At 45.9% G+C, this 17906-nt stretch overlaps 3 annotated features.

Annotated features, from left to right (window-relative positions):
- Positions 1852-2430: an enhancer, noted in NCBI's record as "H3K27ac-H3K4me1 hESC enhancer chr5:171094673-171095251 (GRCh37/hg19 assembly coordinates)". NCBI's record gives its function as "activates a minimal SCP1, AML or CMV promoter by ChIP-STARR-seq in naive and primed H9 embryonic stem cells {active_cell/tissue: H9 hESC(naive and primed)}" and the evidence as "EXISTENCE:reporter gene assay evidence [ECO:0000049][PMID:30033119]".
- Positions 2431-3008: an enhancer, noted in NCBI's record as "H3K27ac-H3K4me1 hESC enhancer chr5:171095252-171095829 (GRCh37/hg19 assembly coordinates)". NCBI's record gives its function as "activates a minimal SCP1, AML or CMV promoter by ChIP-STARR-seq in naive H9 embryonic stem cells {active_cell/tissue: H9 hESC(naive)}" and the evidence as "EXISTENCE:reporter gene assay evidence [ECO:0000049][PMID:30033119]".
- Positions 13874-14373: an enhancer, noted in NCBI's record as "H3K27ac hESC enhancer chr5:171106695-171107194 (GRCh37/hg19 assembly coordinates)". NCBI's record gives its function as "activates a minimal SCP1, AML or CMV promoter by ChIP-STARR-seq in primed H9 embryonic stem cells {active_cell/tissue: H9 hESC(primed)}" and the evidence as "EXISTENCE:reporter gene assay evidence [ECO:0000049][PMID:30033119]".

Genomic DNA, 17906 nt, shown 5'->3' on the forward strand with positions numbered 1-17906 from the left:
TGGCCCCATGAGCCTTCTAATGAATACAGACACTTCTGGCAAGGTTGCTCCTGACTGTGGGCTATTTCTGCCTTTCTTTTTTCTTTTCCTTTTTTTTTTTTTTTTTTTTTTGAGACAGGGTCTCTGTCTCCCAGGCTGGAGTACAGTGGCACAATCACCTCCCAAGGCTCAGGAGATCCTCCAGCCTCAGCCCCGTGAAGTAGCTGGGACCACATGCATGTGCCACCATGCCCAGCTAATCTTTGCATTTTTAGTAGAGACGGGGTTTCACCATGTTGCCTAGGCTGGTCTTGAACTCCTGAGCTCAAGCAATCCGTTCACCTCAGCCTCCCAAAGTGCTGGGATTATAGGCATGAGCCACCGTGCCCAGCCAAGTGCAGTCTATTTCTTACAACTACAGGACTTGGCACACAGTGGACACTTAATAAAGGTTTGTTGAGTGACTGGATCAATGAGCAGAATACAGTTGGCAACTTCCTGCTCCTGGTGATTGGCACCACTGGACTGACTGGGGTTAGGAAGACTGGTGAAGAATGGGCAGAGAAGACCAAGGACTTCAGACAACTTCCTCATCCCAGACTCCTCTGAAGTTAGACGAGGCCCCCACAGTCCCACCCATCATGGTCACAGTGAGCACCAGCAGAGACAGCTGCTGCGGGATGCTACCGTGGTCATTCCTGGGGGTGGGTCATGGTTGGACTTGCCTTTGTATCACACCTCTTGGCCAGAACCTGGCACAGTGCCTGGCACATAGTAGGTGCTCAATAGAGAGTAATGAGGGCAAGAACCAGTGAGTGATCATCCATGGAATTAGCACCTCTGTGTGCCAAGCATAGCCGTGCCTATGAAGGAGGGAGAAGATCCCATGTTTACCCTTCAGTTGAGGAGAGAAAATTAATAACCCAGTAACTGTAAACTAATAATGAAGGATTAAAGTGCAGTGGCTAATGGCACAATCAGACGCTGATCCATTGCTTCAACAGATATCCTTAGAGAACCTACTTTGTTCTAGGTCTGATGTTGGACACTGGGGATTCAGATATGAGTAAGATACAGTCGGGGTAACTGAGGTCTGAGGGGGAGTGTCACAAAAAATTCACTCCTTCAGAAATATCCACTGAATTCGTACTATGTGTCAGGCGTGATGCCAGGGGCTGGCACGACGTGGTGCCCCACAGAGGCAGGGAGCTGGGTCTCCTGCTGAGGCTACGCCATCCTTTATAGTCTCAGGGACGTCTTTCCCTGTCCAGGCCTCCGTTTGTAGACCTGTCAAGTCAAGTGACAAGATCAAATGGCCAATGGGCTCTTTCACTTCTGACAGCTAAGGCTAACCCTGTAGGTAAAGTCCAGCTGAAACCGAATCCCGCCACTCTTTAATTTCCTCATCTGTGAAATGGCCTTGTCACAAACAGCACCTACTTCACAGGGTGCTTGTGATGATTAAATGAAAGAATAGATGTAAATTACTAAGTATGTGCCTGGCATCCTCTCAATGCTGTCTGTTCAACAAGCTCCTCATTCTTGCTACTGTGATTCTATCTGACACCTGCCGCGTGCCCTTCCTTGTGCCAGACACTAAGCCTGGCTCTGTGGAAAGAGCATAAAAGACCCTCCAGGGTACACCCTCCAGGAGTGCTGCATGGAGTGGGTTGAAGGAGGGAATTCACCCAGGGTGGTAGGGTGGGCCTGGAAGCCTCTGAGCTGAGCCGCTCAGGAGAGAGGAGGAGGGGTCACTGGGGTTGGGGGACAGGATTGGGGATCAGAGGAAGCCTCCCAGCGGGGGAGGGGCAGGGCCTGCGCCCTTCCCCTCCGGGAGCCCCCGGTGGCTAGATCTGGTCTGGGCGCAACCCCTGACTGAGGCTGCGCTGGGAGTGCCGAAAGGTGGCCTTGTGGGTAAGTCCTTCCAGCTGCATCCAGGTAATCCCGGCCTTCGAGCGGGAGAGATGATACCCCCCGAGGGCCGGGCCTGGTCCGGCTCAGGATGCGTGCCCTGTGAAAATGCTCAGCAGCCCTCGCCTTTAGGAGTGCTCAGGTCCAGCATGAATCATTCCTTTTTGAACTTGTCTAAATGTGTTTATAAAATAAAGCTGCGGCCCAGGGCTGCTCCTGGCGGAGCGGGAAGGTAATATGTTTTTAATTGGAGAGATTGGGGGAAGGAGGCAGCGGGCCAGGGTGAGCTCACCCCGCATGAATGCGGCTGGGCGGAGAACAATGTACGTTCACATTCTTTGACTACAACGGGCCTCCGCAGGACCTGGCTCGGTGGGCAATTCTCCGGCCTCGGGGCGGGCGTCCGGGCCCGCGCCGTCTGAGGTTAGCGGGAGCGCGTACCCTGGGAGGTGGCCAGAAGCCCTACATTGAAATATCACAGTGGGTCAGAGCAGGGGTCGCAAACTCCAGTGCACCCAGGAACCGCGCAGTATCTCAAACCCACGGACACCCAGTGTAGACCTGGAGAACTGGAAATGCGTGGCCTCTGCAAAGGGGACAGGCACCAGTGGACTCCACCAGCCCCGTCACCAGATTGAATGTTTCTCAAGAAAAACCAGAAATCATATCTGGATGTAAAAGCTCCTCTTTTTAAACGTTGTCTTTATTTAATTTTATCCTATTTTCTTACTTATTTTTGGTTATGTGGGCCAAATAAAACAGATGCCTAGGCCGTATTTAGCCCTGCAGCTGTCCCCTCTTTTAGATCTTGGGAGTGGACCTCATGCTGTCTTTTACCAGCTACCAGGACTTTAGGCAAGTTACTTCACTTCTCTGAGCTTTGGTCTCTTCAACTAGAAATCTGATAGATTAATGCTACTTTTCCTGACTTTTCAAATGCTTTCTATGTTGAGGATAAAGAGAGGAAAGAAGATAATTGTAATATTCATTGGGCATCTGCTATGTGCCGCGCATGGTGTTAAGCAATTTACGTATTTTGTTGTTGTGATGTTTTGTTTTGTTTTTTAATCATCATTATTCTGTAATCTAGGTATTATTCCCATTTTGCAGATTAAGAAATACAATCTTAAAAAGCTGAAGCTGGAATGTGAACCAGTATTTCCAACTTTAAGCTGAAATCATCTGAATTTAAAGAACACATCGTGGTAAGAATGGGGAAATGGAGTCAAGAGTTAACTGGCTGACTTAATGTCACAAAGCCATGCCCAGTGAAGGCAGTAGCCATTTTGGGTCCTAGCTCAGGAATGATTCAAGTAGCAATAGCGTTTTGCAAAGTAAAACAGGCAGAGCTCTCAAGGTTAAATCAAGGGTATAATGGAGTAGGTACCCCCCTGCACTGCTCCAGTTACAGCCCTTCCAAAGGACGACGTAGCAGTATGTGTTAAAAGATTCATATTCTCTAAAAGATTCATCCACTTTCACCCAGTAATTCCTCCTGAAGGAATCAATCCTAGAGAAATAAAAGAGCTGTGGGCAAGCATTTGTAAAAAAAACTAATGCTCAGAAAATCGAACATTCATTATAAAGGAAGAGTTAAATAAGGTAGGTAATGTCCATACCCAGGAATATTATGTAGCCTTGAAAGAATGTGCAATAACGGGAGGAAATGCTCATGACATAATGTTAAGGAAAAAAAGTAGAATGCAAAATTAGGTAAACATGTGTATGATAATCAAAGAAATGTAAAGAAAGAAGATGGGAAGGAAATTCACCCCAATGTTAATTCTCTACGTGGTGGAATTTTAATTTAATTTTCTTCATCCTTGTTGAAATTTTTTTAGATTTTCTCTAATGAGCATATTACATTTTACAATCTGAAATATATATATTTTCAGGATGTTACAGGCCTCATCTCATCCAGTTTGGGAAGTGGATGGGTCTCAAGCCAAGTATCACATTTATTTAAAAAACAAAAGCCCAGAGAGAAACTCTAGAGAGAAAAATACCACAGTGTAAACTGGTTATTACTGGATGATTGGATTATGGGTGATTTTTTCCTACTTCTTTATATTTCTATGTGTTTTTCAAACTTTCTACATCAAGATTTCTTTGAAATTGGCAAACAAACAGACAAATCATAAAATACTCTCTTGCATTTCCAACTGTTCCAGGCAGGGAGATATTCTTGGCAGTAGAGCTATACCAGAATCCAGGTTTTTCTCACACATTGCTCTATCCTCACTCTGGTCTTTGTACTTGTACCCACCCCCACCCCCGCCACCCAGCTACCATGATGATAGATGCTGAAGGGTTTAATATACTTAAATTGGTTTAAAGCTAAGGAACTGTGAAATTAGGGTTCTTTTGTAGTTTATGGAGGAATGGCTTGGCCCAGACTATTCTTGCAACCTGTTTTTGACCACTTTGCCAAGCTAAAAGTACCTATTGCTTATCCTATTAATTGAGCCAAGGCCGTGTAATCAGGGCCTTGCTGGCCTAGAAGGCACATTTATTTCCCGGACATGGCACTATGATCTGAGCCGCGTGGTCACTTCCTATACCCAACCTTTCACGGAGCTGGTCACTCTTCTGGCTTGGAAAACCATAAGGTCTCCAAGTGACCTTACTAAGAGTCAAGATACCTGGGTCCTTGTGGGGTTTACCACCTGATGGTGCTTCACTCCTGACCAAGTCATCATGTTACATGTACCCCCGCCTTTATTTCCTGAGACCCCTCCCTCCCAGGCTGTGTAGCCCAGAGACCGGGAACTGAATCCTCTGTGAACCTGAGCTCACTTCTGCACTTCCCTCAGCCTTCATTCTTCCCTCACCTATAGAAGGGGAGTAGAACACCAACATGGGCCTTTGGGTACAAAATAGATTGTCTTCCTTCTTCCCTCTCTAGCATCCTCTTTCCTTCCTAATTTAGGAGCTTTTTCTAGTCTGCTTCTAAATATGCACCTTGGCCAATCTCGGCACGTCACCAAATCCTCGTGGTGGGCTTTCCTCATAGTACCAATGTGGGAAGTGCCTAACAGAATGCAGAGATGGCTCTTAACCGGGTCAGGTGCCTGGCGTGCCTGGGTTCTGTTTTAGGTGATCCTCACCATGGCTCGTTCTGCAAAGCAGGGGTCAGTCAGTAGTCCCATTTTACAGGACACTGAGGTGCAAAGAGGCACTGTACCATGCCAGCAGGTCTCTCGGTGGGGAGTCAGTGTTTACTCACATTTTCCCACCTCCTTTCTGCTCAGTCTTTTCTTTTTCCCTTCACTGGGTAGTCTTCCAAGTTCACAGAAATGAAAATCTTCCTAAAACAGGAAGGCAAATAAATGAGAATCCCCCTTCTGACCCAAATCACTAGCAATCACCCATGTATTTAGATTCACATGAGCTCCTGACTCTGGAACCTGGAGCTAATTCCCCTAAAAGTCAGTTCATGTAAACTTCTTGTTTACCAAGGTGACAATGGTAATTACCAAGGTGACAAGGGGAAAAGACTAGAATGTTTATACGACTGTTGACGAGATCTGTTTAAATCTAGAAGCATCAGAAAATATCACAATGGGATGGTGTCAACCTCTTTTGGGAGTTTCTGGACCCTCTTCAGTATCTTTTTCTACTTTGGGGGCTCTTGAACATTTCAAAGTTGCTTTAAAAAAAGTGAATTCATCTAATGTCATTCTACCTTAATTTCAAGAAAACAAGCATGGTTTAAGTTAATAGCTAGAAGGCAAGGTCATGAATAAGCAAAGAAAGTGAGGTGCGCAAAGAAAAAAAATAATAATCACCCCAGTGTGTGACCTTGAGCAAGTCACTTAAGCCTTAGTTTTCCTTCTCTGTAAAATAGGGGTAATGATTTCTATCCCATGAGGATGTCTGATGGCTAATTTCAGTGACACAATTTGTGCAAAACAAAGAGAACTCTACTACATGGTAAATGTTCTATTCTGCACAACAACAATAATAATCTCTTCAATTGGGGGAAAATGATCACAGCCTTATACTTTTTGTCACTTATAATATCTTTGCTTCTTTGGGGCCTGGAGAAGAAAAAGCAGCTCAGGATGGGGTAGAAGGGGGTGTAAATGACTTCTTGCAACTTATAAACCTGCAGTTAGACCCTTCCATGCCATACTATGCACTGAAATGCATTCCAGGTGCACTAAAGAACTGAATGTTTTAAAAAATCAAACCACAGAGGGGAAAAGACATGAATATTTATCAGACCTCTGGGAAGGTCTGGTTAAATCTACAAGCATCAGAAAAGATCACAAAGGAAGAGATGGACAGAATTGGCAGCAGGAATATTCAGCACATCTGTACATAGAAAAGACAGGAAAATGCATGCAGCAAAAATGACAGGCAAAGGCATCATATCTTTATTAGATAAAGAGCTTTTACTATCTGTATGTATATATGTATGTGAAGCCATAAGAAAGTTATTCAGACCCTACTAGATAAATGAATAAGGAATTCAAGTAGATAATTCACAAAGGAAGAATATATTTGGGGGAGAAAATGAGAGAAGGCAATCTCATTAGCAACCAAAGAAATAAGTTACCACTTTTCTACCATCAAATAGCACTGACTTTTTAAATAATAATGTTAGCTGTTAAAGAAGGCGAAGTGAAACAGGCATATGCATACATGGTAGTAGAAAGGTAAATTGGTTTGACCCTTTTGGAAAAAAAAGTCATAACATCAAGTGTTATGAAAAAAAGTTGTCTAGTATATGGTTTGGGGAAAACTAGAGAAAACTAAAACTAGATCCCTATGTTAAAGTATGTACAAAGGTGGACTCCAAGGGGACTAAACATCTAAACATGAAAGGTAAAAGTAAAAAGTCAATTGCAGAAAACGATAGGAGATATTCTCCCTCTGACACATATGAGCTGTGTCACCTTGGGCAGGACGTTTCACCTATCTGAGCCTCGGCTTTCTCATCTTAAAATGGGAATTTTAACACCTACCTTACAAGATAATGTCTATAAAGCGCCTGGCACCTGCTTTGACAGAGAGGGCTTTCCTCCTGGGTGCACAGCTGGGTCAGCCTTCCTGGCCTCTCCTGTGTTGGTATGGCGATGTGAGTGAGTACTCTGGCCACTGGAGAGTGGGGACAAGTGATGGGTGTACTTCCAGGGGTCACCCTGCAAGGCCTCCCATGCGTAATTCCATATCCTCTTCTCCATCTATTGGTTGATTAGAGAGGATTTAGGACTATGGAAGAGGGAGGAACAACAAGATGGAAGGAGCCTGGGTCACTGAATCCCTACTTGGAAGTCTGCTTGGCCAAGAAACCCTGATTAGACTATGTGATAAGATACAAACTTCTGTTGGGTGAAGCCACTGATTTGGAGATTGTCTATTACAACAGCTAACAATACCTACCCTAAGTAACAGTGCCCAGTAATTATTCTGCAATTTGACCAACAAATTCCCGTATTGGGAATCTAATCATTGGGGTTCATTAAATGTAGTTTCTGATGAAGCCCTTGGTGGGTGGCAGTGGGATTTCTTAATCCAGTCACTAATCAAAACTGCACACTGCAACATTTCCAGAGAAGTGGCTAATAGAAAAATAGATTCTGTTAGTTGATTTCAGGTTTCTTTCTAAATTGTTAATGTTGGGTTTTGCACACTCTGAGATTGGGATTGACTAGAATGCTTTGACTAGACTAGACAAGCACTCAAGAAATTTTCAAAGGATAAACCAAACCAAAACAAAAGTAGGAAAGGGGAAATATGGAAGTAATCAGGTTGTCTGTATCAGCTGATAATAGTCTGTCCCTGGGCACACAGCCAGAAAATTTGAACCCTGGCCAGCAACTCACACACTCCAGGTGATCTGCCAAAACAGAGGGCTGTGATGACTGGCCTAGGAGCAGGGAGCCTGCAGCTCACAGGGGTACTGAGATGCAAATAACTGCTCTGGCCATGCAAAGGAATATTTAGGGCAGTATTTACATAGTGCAAAACTTCTGAAGAAACGAAATGTCTGTGGCAGATGCTGCTGGTTCTCTACCCAACAGCCATTTCCCCTTCTTCCTTAGAAAACGTATCCCAATTTCATTCTGGCCTCAAAGGTTGACTCGTGATTGTTCTAAGCTAGTCTTTGTCTTTCCATTCCCCCTTGTCAGTCATTGGTCTAGGACTGAATGTGTGATCTACTTCTGGCCACCAAGATGTTAGGGAAGATTTGCTAGGGCCTTTTGGGAGAGATAAAAGACAGAGGGAGATGGAAAGTGGCCTTTCCTCCCACAACCCCCTTTCCTTTTCACTTTGGACTTTGTGGATGAAGATGTGATTCCTGGAGCTGCTGCAACCATCTTGTCACCATGAGGGTAAGGCCAAAGAGACTCATAGAGACACCAATCCAAACTTACTAAGCCTCTGAGCCAACCTGGGAGTTTGTTATATGAAATAATTATGCCTGTACTATTTGCTTTTTTTCAGGGGTTTTGCTGTAGGTTTATCCAGTAGTGCTGTCAGGGTTAAGTTGATAGAAGAATCTTTGATGAAACTTGACTGATTTTCCTGGAGTTACCTAGACATGGTTCCTGACTCTCACCTGGAGATGTCTAAAGGCAAAAGCCTGGTTAGTTTGCCTGTGAGGACTAATGAAAGAGTGGGTGCTGCTGTGGGAGTAACTTGCCCATCCAGAGTTTCGTGGGGCAAAGAAACGTTGACTTTTCCCATGGGCTAAGTGAACGCCATGAGACTAGCTAGGCTAGAGCCTTCTGGAAAGGACCTCTCCTAAAAGAAAGGCCTTCCAGGGCAAAAGGACCCCAGCAGGAGGTCTCTGTGGGGTGCATATCACAAAAGCGTAGGAGCTGGGGACATTGTATGTTGCCAGCCAGGGACTGTCTCTTAAGAGAAAAAATGGGAGTTTCAAGGTCCCCATCAGGAGGTCCCTGAAGAAGCTATAAAAGAGAGATGCAGCATTTGCTCAATGGCTGACCAGAGTATGGAGAACCAATCCTCTATTGCCCAACACCAAAGTAGGCTGGAACATGTGCTTAGCGGACTTCAGACATTACAGGGCATTCGGCCTGTGGGGCTCTTTACTGCTTCTCCCGTTGCAACCCAGCGCTGAAGGAGCCACAACAAACATAGGGAGTGGAGGAGGTATGGAGGGGCAAGGGCCATGGGGTCATGAAAGAACAGACATGCTCACGTGATATCTACCATTGTCTCTTGGCTCCATACCTACCTTCTAGCGTTCGCCCTGCAAAATGGGGTCTGGGAGTCTATAAGCTAAAATTCTTAGCATTAAAAGATGCTTTCTGAGTTGACTTCCTTTCAGATTCTGTCAATAAGAGGCCCTAGTACGAGATCAGAAGGTAGGAGGAGGGGACAGAGGAGTGAACAAACCATTGTTTGTTCTCTCTCTATCTCTCTCTTTCCTTCTTCTGGCAGTGTCTCTGCAGGTGGTTGCATCTCTTCCAAGCCCCTAGCTTCTGAGCACCAGCTCCTCCCCAGTGGCCCCAGCTCTGAAGATGACAAAAATTCTTCCAAGCTTGTAGAATTTAATAACAACACCTTCTCTCTCCCCACTCCATGGCCCTAGGGGTGGCAGCTGCTTCCTGCAGTTATTGATCTCTGTTGCTGTGCCTTCCCCCTTTTTGCTCCTCCATCTTCTAACACCCATTTAATCAATTTCCTGTATTCAGCCCCCTTTGTTGGAAATACCTGGCATGATTTCTGTCTTCCTCATTGAACTCTGATTGATACATCTCTCTTCTTAAGGGCTGATCTGAAGAATTTTCAGGTGAGGCTAGACTGAGGAGAGGAAAGAACTTTTCAATTGGATGAGAAAATCAGTTTTAATATTAGATGTGGCTGAGTTTTTAATAGCTGATAATGATATGTTCTAATGCCTGAAAGCGATTGGGAAACCCAAGATATCATCTAGAGGCAGGGGAGGGAGATGGAACAGAGCAGGTTTAAATGGAAATAGTGACAAAGAATAAAGCCATTTCCTTCCCTGTGAGGTCTGACTGTATCAGAAACCAGTCACACCATGAAATAAGATAAAAAAGCATTACAATAGGGATTGCAACCTGGAAACTCCCACCAAATGTAATCAACAGACTTGTTTGTGTAGTTCAAACAGTGTTTTTCTATTCAAGGTTTCTCAAAGTCGCATTATTGACATTTTGAGCCAGATACTGGGAGGAGGGGGCTGTCTTGTACATTATATTGACATTTTGGGCCACATGTTTTTCTCATACAGGATGTTTAGCAGCATCTCTGGCCTCTAGAAGCCAGGAGTGCCCTCCAGACATGACAATAAAAAAGTATCTAGATATTGCCACATGTCCCTTGGGGTGCAAAATCTCCCTTGATTGAGAAATATTGCTCTAATTGGAAATTTTGCATTAAAAATTAGATTTCCAGTCAGCCTTCCTTGAAAAATCTACAGACTTGTAAACAATGGACCTATGTTTCTACCTGGCTACAATCAGCTATTGTTAATTCCATCTGTTTCTGTTATATGCTATATTGGTTATCTATTGCTGCATAGCAAATTACCCCAAAACTGAGTGGCTTAGAACAACGTTTATTATCTCACAGTTACTGCAGGTCAAGAATCTGGGTATTGCTTAACAGGATTCTCTGGCTCAACATCTCTACAAGGTGGTAATCAAGGTGTTGGCCAAGGCTTCAGTCATCTAAAGGATTCGCTGGGGAAGAGTCAGCTTCCAAGCTCACTGATGTGGTGTTGGCAGGATTCAGTTCCTCATGGGCACCAGACGGAGAGTCTCAGCAAATCACTAGCTGGTGACTGCAGCCACCGCAGTTCTTTATCACGTGGTTCTCTCCATAGGGCAGTTCACAGTGTGGTAACTTGCTTCATCAGAGCAAGCCAGGAAGAAGACCCAGAGACAGACAGAGAGAGAGAGAGAGAGAGAGAGAGAGAGGAGGCCTCTGAAAGAGAGAGAGAAGAGAGAGAGGCAAAGAGAGAATGAGAACTCCAGAAGTCACTGTCTTTTATAGCCTAATCTTGAAAGTGACATTCATCACTTTCACTACATTTTCTTCCCCAGCAGTGCTCAGTGGGAGGGGATTATACACGGCCATGGATACCAAGATGTGGGGGCCACTGGAAGCCATTCTAGAAGCTACTGTATTAGTTTCTTAGTGCTACCATAGCTAATTACTGTAAACAGAGTGGCCTGGAACAACAAAAATCTATTCTCTCACAGTTCTGGAAGCGGGAAGTCTTAAGTCAAAGGATCGACAGGGCCATGCCCTCTCTGAAGACTCTAGGGAAGGATCCCCTCTTACTCCTTCCAGCTTCTGGTGGTTGCCCTCGATCCTTGGCGCTCCTTGGCTTGTTGATGCGTCACTTCAATCTCTGCCCCCGTGGTCACTGGCATTTTCCCTGCGTGTCTGGGTCCAAATTTCTCTCATCTTATAAGGACACCTGTCATTGAATCAGGGCCCATCCTAATTCAGTATTACTTCATCTTAATTTTATTACCCTGTTTCCAAATCAGATCACATTCACAGGTACCAGGGGTTAAGCCTTCAACATATTTTGGGGAGCAGGCACAATTCAACTACAATACCTTTTCTGTCACAGATGGAGCATGTGCATCTCTGTTGAAGCATGCTGCTGTGCTGTGGGACAATTTTGTCTGCCCACTCCGCAATGATGCCCTATGAATCAAGATCCCTGTATCATTGCAGGGGCTCCTTGAGGGAGGATCATTCCTCTACCTCAGTGCAAAGTTTGACAAAAGTGCTCTGTGCTTTGGCCCTGGGCTCCAGCCCTTCCATTTGTACTCATGGGGTCAGCTCTTCTGCCCTGTGCTTTCCTCTGTCATAGCTTTTATTAGTCTGATTTCATGCTAGTTTCTTGCTAGTCTCTTTGACTGTTAAATCCTTGAAGTCAGGGATCTCACCTGATTCATTTCTGAGCTCTCAGTGCCATTTCTGAGCTCCCAGTGCCCACACATGGCCGGCCATCTCGTGGATGAGTTGATGGATCCATTTGACTAGTAGATAAATGCATACATGGAGAGCCAACATACATAGTATGCAAAGTCATGAAAAACAAGGAATGACTGAGGAACTGGCACAGATAGGAGGAGACTAAGGAGGTTTAACAACTAAATCCAACATGGTGCCCTGGAGTGCATTCTGAAACAGAGGATATTAGGGAAAAGCTGATGAAATTCAGGCAAAGTCTGTGAGTAGTTTAGTCAATGGTATCATATGAGTTTTCTTAGTTTAGACAAATGTTATGGAAGATGTTAAAGTTAGGGAAATTGGGTAAAGGGTATATGGGAACTCTTAGTACTATCTTAATAATGCTTTTGGAAATCTGAAATTATTTCAAAATAAAAAATCTAAGTAAATCAGAGTTAGGGAAAGGCAGAAGCTAGGGTCATCAAGGGGATTTACTAAGCTGATGAATAAGTTCGAATTTAAAACAGGAGAAACTGGGAGCAGGAACCACAGAGAACAAGTGCCTAATCAGGGCCCAGTGGAAGGAATGAGCCAGTTTTGTCCAATTTGGCAAACTCTCTTGGCTCCTCATCTGTAAAGTGGGTGAAAACCCAGATGTTGGATGGGGCTTTGACAGCACTTCAGGTCTAACTAGGGTGGCCTGAAACCCCCAATCCCATGGACTGGAACAGACAAGAACTTCCAAGACTTCTGCACATTTGCAGAGGTTTGAGGTCCCATCATTAGCCATGCTTCTTGGTTCCTGCACTATGAGTATACGTATGTGGGCTGATGGCCTCATTCACTGGATACACACACACACACACACACACACACACACACACACACACACCTCACCAGGGACTTGGGAGTATCTAAATGTTTGAGAATCATAGAGCAGGGAGACATCCAACACAGCACAGCCTTCCATTCACTGTCTGGCTCCTCTCCCCTTTACCTCTTCCCTCCTGGGTTATGTCTGGGGACTCCACATCTTCTGTCTCTATTGTGTGGGGGCAACCTAGCTCTCCTCCTGGAAGCCCTGACTCCCAGGGCCCTCAGGATCACTGCCCCCACCCTCCCCTACCTCAATTAAGTTCACAGTAAAACACAATTCCTTTCCTAGAAGGAATCTGGACACCAGCTATTAAAATGCCATTTACTATAGCTCCTTACACAGATGTGAAGCCTGTGCTGTCTCCTTTTGAGCTCATTACAGCCGTGGCTTTGATCCAGTGTCTAGACAAACTTGTGGATCAGAAGCAGTTGGGAAAAGCCTGGCAATGTAATTATAGGCTTACAACAAAGCACTGATAGTTCAAATGATTTGGGTTAAAATTATATAACTTAGAGCATATCCAAGGTTAGCCTCATGACAATGTCATCCCTCCTCATTTGCATTCTAATATGTTCTCTTAAGTGGCATGGAAATTGTGAAACTACAGCTAGCCAGTGGAATTGTGGAGAATACCAGGTACGACAACCTCATTATGTGTGTACCAACAGAAAATAGGTTGAGAACTGCCTCATCAGAGGACCAAGTGAGATCTTTACAAGCTATAAAATGCTTAAGCGAAATTACCAACTAAAGTTCATATTTGACTTGGAAGAGCCTTAAAAGTGAGCTAGTCCAGCCCTGGCTCCTGGCATATTACAGATGGCGGCACTGAGGCCCACAGGAGGGAAGTGGCCTGCCCATAGTTATACCTTGAGCCAATGATAGTCCAGGCCTGGATCCCAGGCCTGCCCCCCAACACATTGAAGCCTCTATTCATACCTGGAGATGTTCAGACGAAAATAGAATGGCCATAGGGTGAGATCAGCAGCTGGGAATGTGGCCCTTTGTTTTTCTCCTGAATTTCTAAGAACAACGGCAGGTGAACATTATTTTTAGTCACTGAGAGACAGTGTTGAGCTGTAACACTTTTGCTCTCACTTCTCACTGGAGTGTGTCTTGTTTGACAATTTTAGGGCTAATTAGGACCAAACGCAAGGAGTCAGCCAAGTTCCACAGAGGGAAGGATGTCGCCAGTTGGGAAGGGTTGGAATCCTGGCTCTGTGATGCCTTTATTGCCTGACCTTGGTCAGGTAGGTTAATTGAAGCAGGCCTTGCTTTCCTCTGCTGTAAAACAGTGGCAGCCGAAGCTCTCTCAAAGGTTGATGTGAAGAATAAGTGTCCCTGGTGCATAGGAGGTGCTTCTGGAGGACTCTCTACTATCTGCCCCAGCCCAGAGCTTGCAACTTTGCTGCTTAAAAGAAGGAGCATTACGGTACCTTACTCCTCTGTTTCCACAGGTGAATGGGCTTTGCTGTCCCCCTCTCCTTCCAAAGACCTCTTCTGTAAGAGATGAAAACACTGCAGGACTTCTGTGTCAGGGCGTTTCCAGAGTGGGGAGGAAGAGCACATGAATGAACTGGAAGTTTTCTTCTTTGAGAAACAGATGCCCAGTTTGAACCATCATATTCATCTCTTCAAGGACAGCCCCTTTGCCCTGAGTTCCACATTTTAACATTGTGCTTTGCGATCCATTGAGAGTTAATTGGCACCTTCAATAATAGTGCATCTTACAATCGATGGCATGTTAGACGCTATGAAACATGGTACCTCAAGCAGCTCAGCAAATTCATTAGCTCATGGAACCACAGAAAGGAGCAGGGGCCACAGCACCCAAGAACTGGGAGTCCGTTTTTTCTCCCAGTCTCCTTCTCTGTCTTCCTCCTCTCACCCTCCCTAGCCCACTTCCCACTTCTCTCTTCTCTACACCCTCTTTCCCTCTCACTGTGTTATCTGTGTGTTATCTTGGCTTCATCCCATCGGGTCAGCTCACCCCACGAAGCTGGATGCGTGGCCCATGCAACTCCAGCCTGTGTGTGGTCTCACAGCGCTGAGACAAGAGAGGAAAAGACAGCTCTTTCCGCCAACTCCAGTAAGAAAAAATCTCAGCAAAGGGACCTGAGTGGGTCATGTGCCCATCCCTGGACCAATCACTACTGAGCCTCAGCCCCACCCCGCCCAGCCCCACCCCTGTGGCTGGCTGGGAAGGTGGTACCCTGAGGGCCCACCTCTGCATGCCCACTGGGGGCACTCTCCCAAGTGCTGGGTCCACATGTTCTGTGGCTCCAGGAGCTCGTGGTACCTTCCCTTGACTTTTGTTCCTCCCCAAATCAAAGTAAGTCAATCACTTCCACTTTAAAACTCAGTAACTATCATCACTATCATTATTGTTATTTATCACTATGGCCCCAATTTGGACTCTACGTTTACTGAGGACAAGCACATTTTCCTTCATTTCTTTTGAGATGGAGGTCTCTTAATGCAATGAGCAGTCACTAAATTACTCTAGAAATGACTAATAGCTAATGTTTATTAAGCACTTGCCGTGTGTTAGGCACAGTTCTAAGTATATTGCATGCATTAGGTCATTTAATCCTGAAAACTCCCAATGAGGTAGAAGCTGTTTTTATCTCCGTTTTATAAGTGAGGCAACTGAGGCATGAGGAATTTGTGTAACTTGCAGAGTAAGTGAGAGTTCCAAGGCAGGCAGTGAGACCACGTCGGGCACACCCTCAGCCACCACAGTGTCCTGGAGGGAGGGCCGAGTGTGTCCATCCTGGAGTCCAAGGCCCTGCTGCCTCCAGATGACCAGCTCAGTGCCAGGGCAGCAGGGAGTTGAAATCCCTCATGGATTTTATTTTAATCCTTAAAAATAATAGTTCCCATTTGTTGGCACTGGTCTAAAAGCTTAAATTACATGATCTCATTTTTCTTCTAAAAAGCTCATTTTGAATATGAGGAAAGAGAGGTTCAGGGAAGGTAGGTATCTTGCCTAGAGACACACAGCTAGGAAGTTGGGGAGCCAAGGTCATAACTCAGGACTGCCTGACTCCGACGCCTGAGCTCCTAACAATGCACTTCTCCCCAGAGCAAAGAACCCCAGCTCTGAGTCTGGAGTGAGGGCATGGGGGCTGGTCATGGGGAGAAAACTTGGGAGGGTGGATTTTCCTTCTCTGCTCACACACCCATGCCCACTCCCTCCCTGAGAACTGCCATGGCCTCAGGGGCAGGGCTGAGAGGAGCTGCCCACTTCCTCCCACACTCCTAAACTCCTCCCAGCCCTGAGTCTCCAAGTATCTGGGAACAACGCTGCTACCACTTCGGGTAACTGTGGCTATGCTTGTGTGTGAACCGTCCCCACCCTTGGTCTGCCATGCCATGATCTGTGATTCTCATAGGACTGACTCCACGGGACCAACGTGTAATAATAACCACAGTTACCCCTTATGAAATGCCTCACAGAAGCCAGGCACTGAGCTAAGGCAGAGGAAATGACCTCATTCATTCTTAATAATGCCCCTTTAGAATGAGCGTTCAGGAAATTGAGACTCAAGGAGGTAGAGTGAGGAACTTGGCTGAGGCTTCACAGTCAGCAAGAGGCAGAGACAGGATTTGAACCCAGGTCTGATTGACTTCAATGTCCATGACTTTAACACCAACTTGCTGCTTCTTAGCCTGACCGAGACAACAGAGATACAGAAGTCACTGTCCTTGTTCTCAAGAAGCTTGGGATCCAGTAGCGGAGTTACATGAGTGAACAAATTGCAATTAGGTGGGAATACCAGAAATGATAGAAGTGACACTAGGTCCTGAGGTGGCACAGAGCAGGGAGGTGTGAACCTGGATGGTGTGTTTTTCATGACTGCTGATGGCAAGTGACAGGACTCCAACTCAACTTGGTTTAAGGAAGGAAAAAGGCAGGGGTGGGGCAGAGATTGATTGGCTCATGTTTCTGAAAAGTTCGGGGCAACTGGCTTCAAGCATGGCTTTATCCAGGAACTCAAGAACGTCAACAGGAGTCTCTCCCCTGCTTCAGCTGTGCTTTCAGCCACACTGACATTATTTTGAAGATGACGCCACTCTCTGACAGGCAAGTTGTCCACCAGAGGCACCCTCCAAGGTCAACATGGTTAGCAACCCCTCTGAAAGGAGAGCCCCTGTTTACTCTTAATTTCAGCCAAATTCCCAGGTTTGAGTGTTGGTGAATTTGCTCAGGTCACATGCCACTCTCTCAATCACTCATTGTAGTCTCCATAAAGATGGAATCATTGATTGACTATTGGCCAGGTCTGGGTCCTCTGCTCAGTCCTGAAATTGAAGGGAGCCAGCCCCATGCAAATCAGGACACTGTCACGGGGAGAAGGGGAAGCAGGATGCCAAGTGGGCAAAGACAGTGGCATTCCACAGGTGAGGGAGGCTTCCGTAAGAGGAGCCCTGGAGCTTAGTCCCGAGAACGAACAGAGCATGCTGGGCAGAGCTGGGGCTGCGAGGAGAGGGTGTTTCCTACCAGAGAGAACAGACTGTGGACGTGTGAACTCATAGTTTGGCATAGCTGGAGGCTATGGTGGGTGTGGGAGAGGAGTGTGAGGTGTGGCAGAGAGGGGCCCAGTGAGGGTCTTCAAACCTGTGGACCACGCAGGCGTTTGGACTTGCTCCTGCAGGTACCCTAGGGAGGTAGCACCTCAGGCTCAGGGCGGAGGCTCTGGACTGGATCCCCTGGCCTGACCCTGCCTCTCTGAGTGACTCAGTCTATCTGATTCTCAGCTTCCCCATCTGCAAAACAGGAAGGATGGAGGACAACTTCACAGAATGGAGGTGAGGGCAAACTGAGGCAAAGCCATGATAAGCAGAGAGACAACATAGAGGAAGTGTTCAAAGACACAGACCATTATTGTGGACCAATCTTAAGCATCAGAGGAACATATCTAATCTCCACTCTAGAAAGCTCCCCCGGGGGTGCAGTGGAGGGTGGGGACAGGAGACCAGTGGGAAGAGGTGAGTTTGATGGTTCAGGTCCTAGAAGATGTAGAGAAACACTGCTTTGGGGGAGATGGAGAACACAGAGAGAGGGCTCAGGGAGAGAAAATTCCATGGCACTTGGCAAAGAATCAAATGTGGGGAGAGGGAAAAATCCAGGATAAAAATAAACACGGAGACAAAAATCTACCCTTGACCTTGGATCCCTTAACTTTTAACTTTTGAACAAACACATTTTCTCTTAAAAGCA

Source organism: Homo sapiens, chromosome 5 (genome assembly GCF_000001405.40).
Source record: "Homo sapiens chromosome 5, GRCh38.p14 Primary Assembly".
Taxonomy (NCBI): Eukaryota; Metazoa; Chordata; class Mammalia; order Primates; family Hominidae; genus Homo; species Homo sapiens.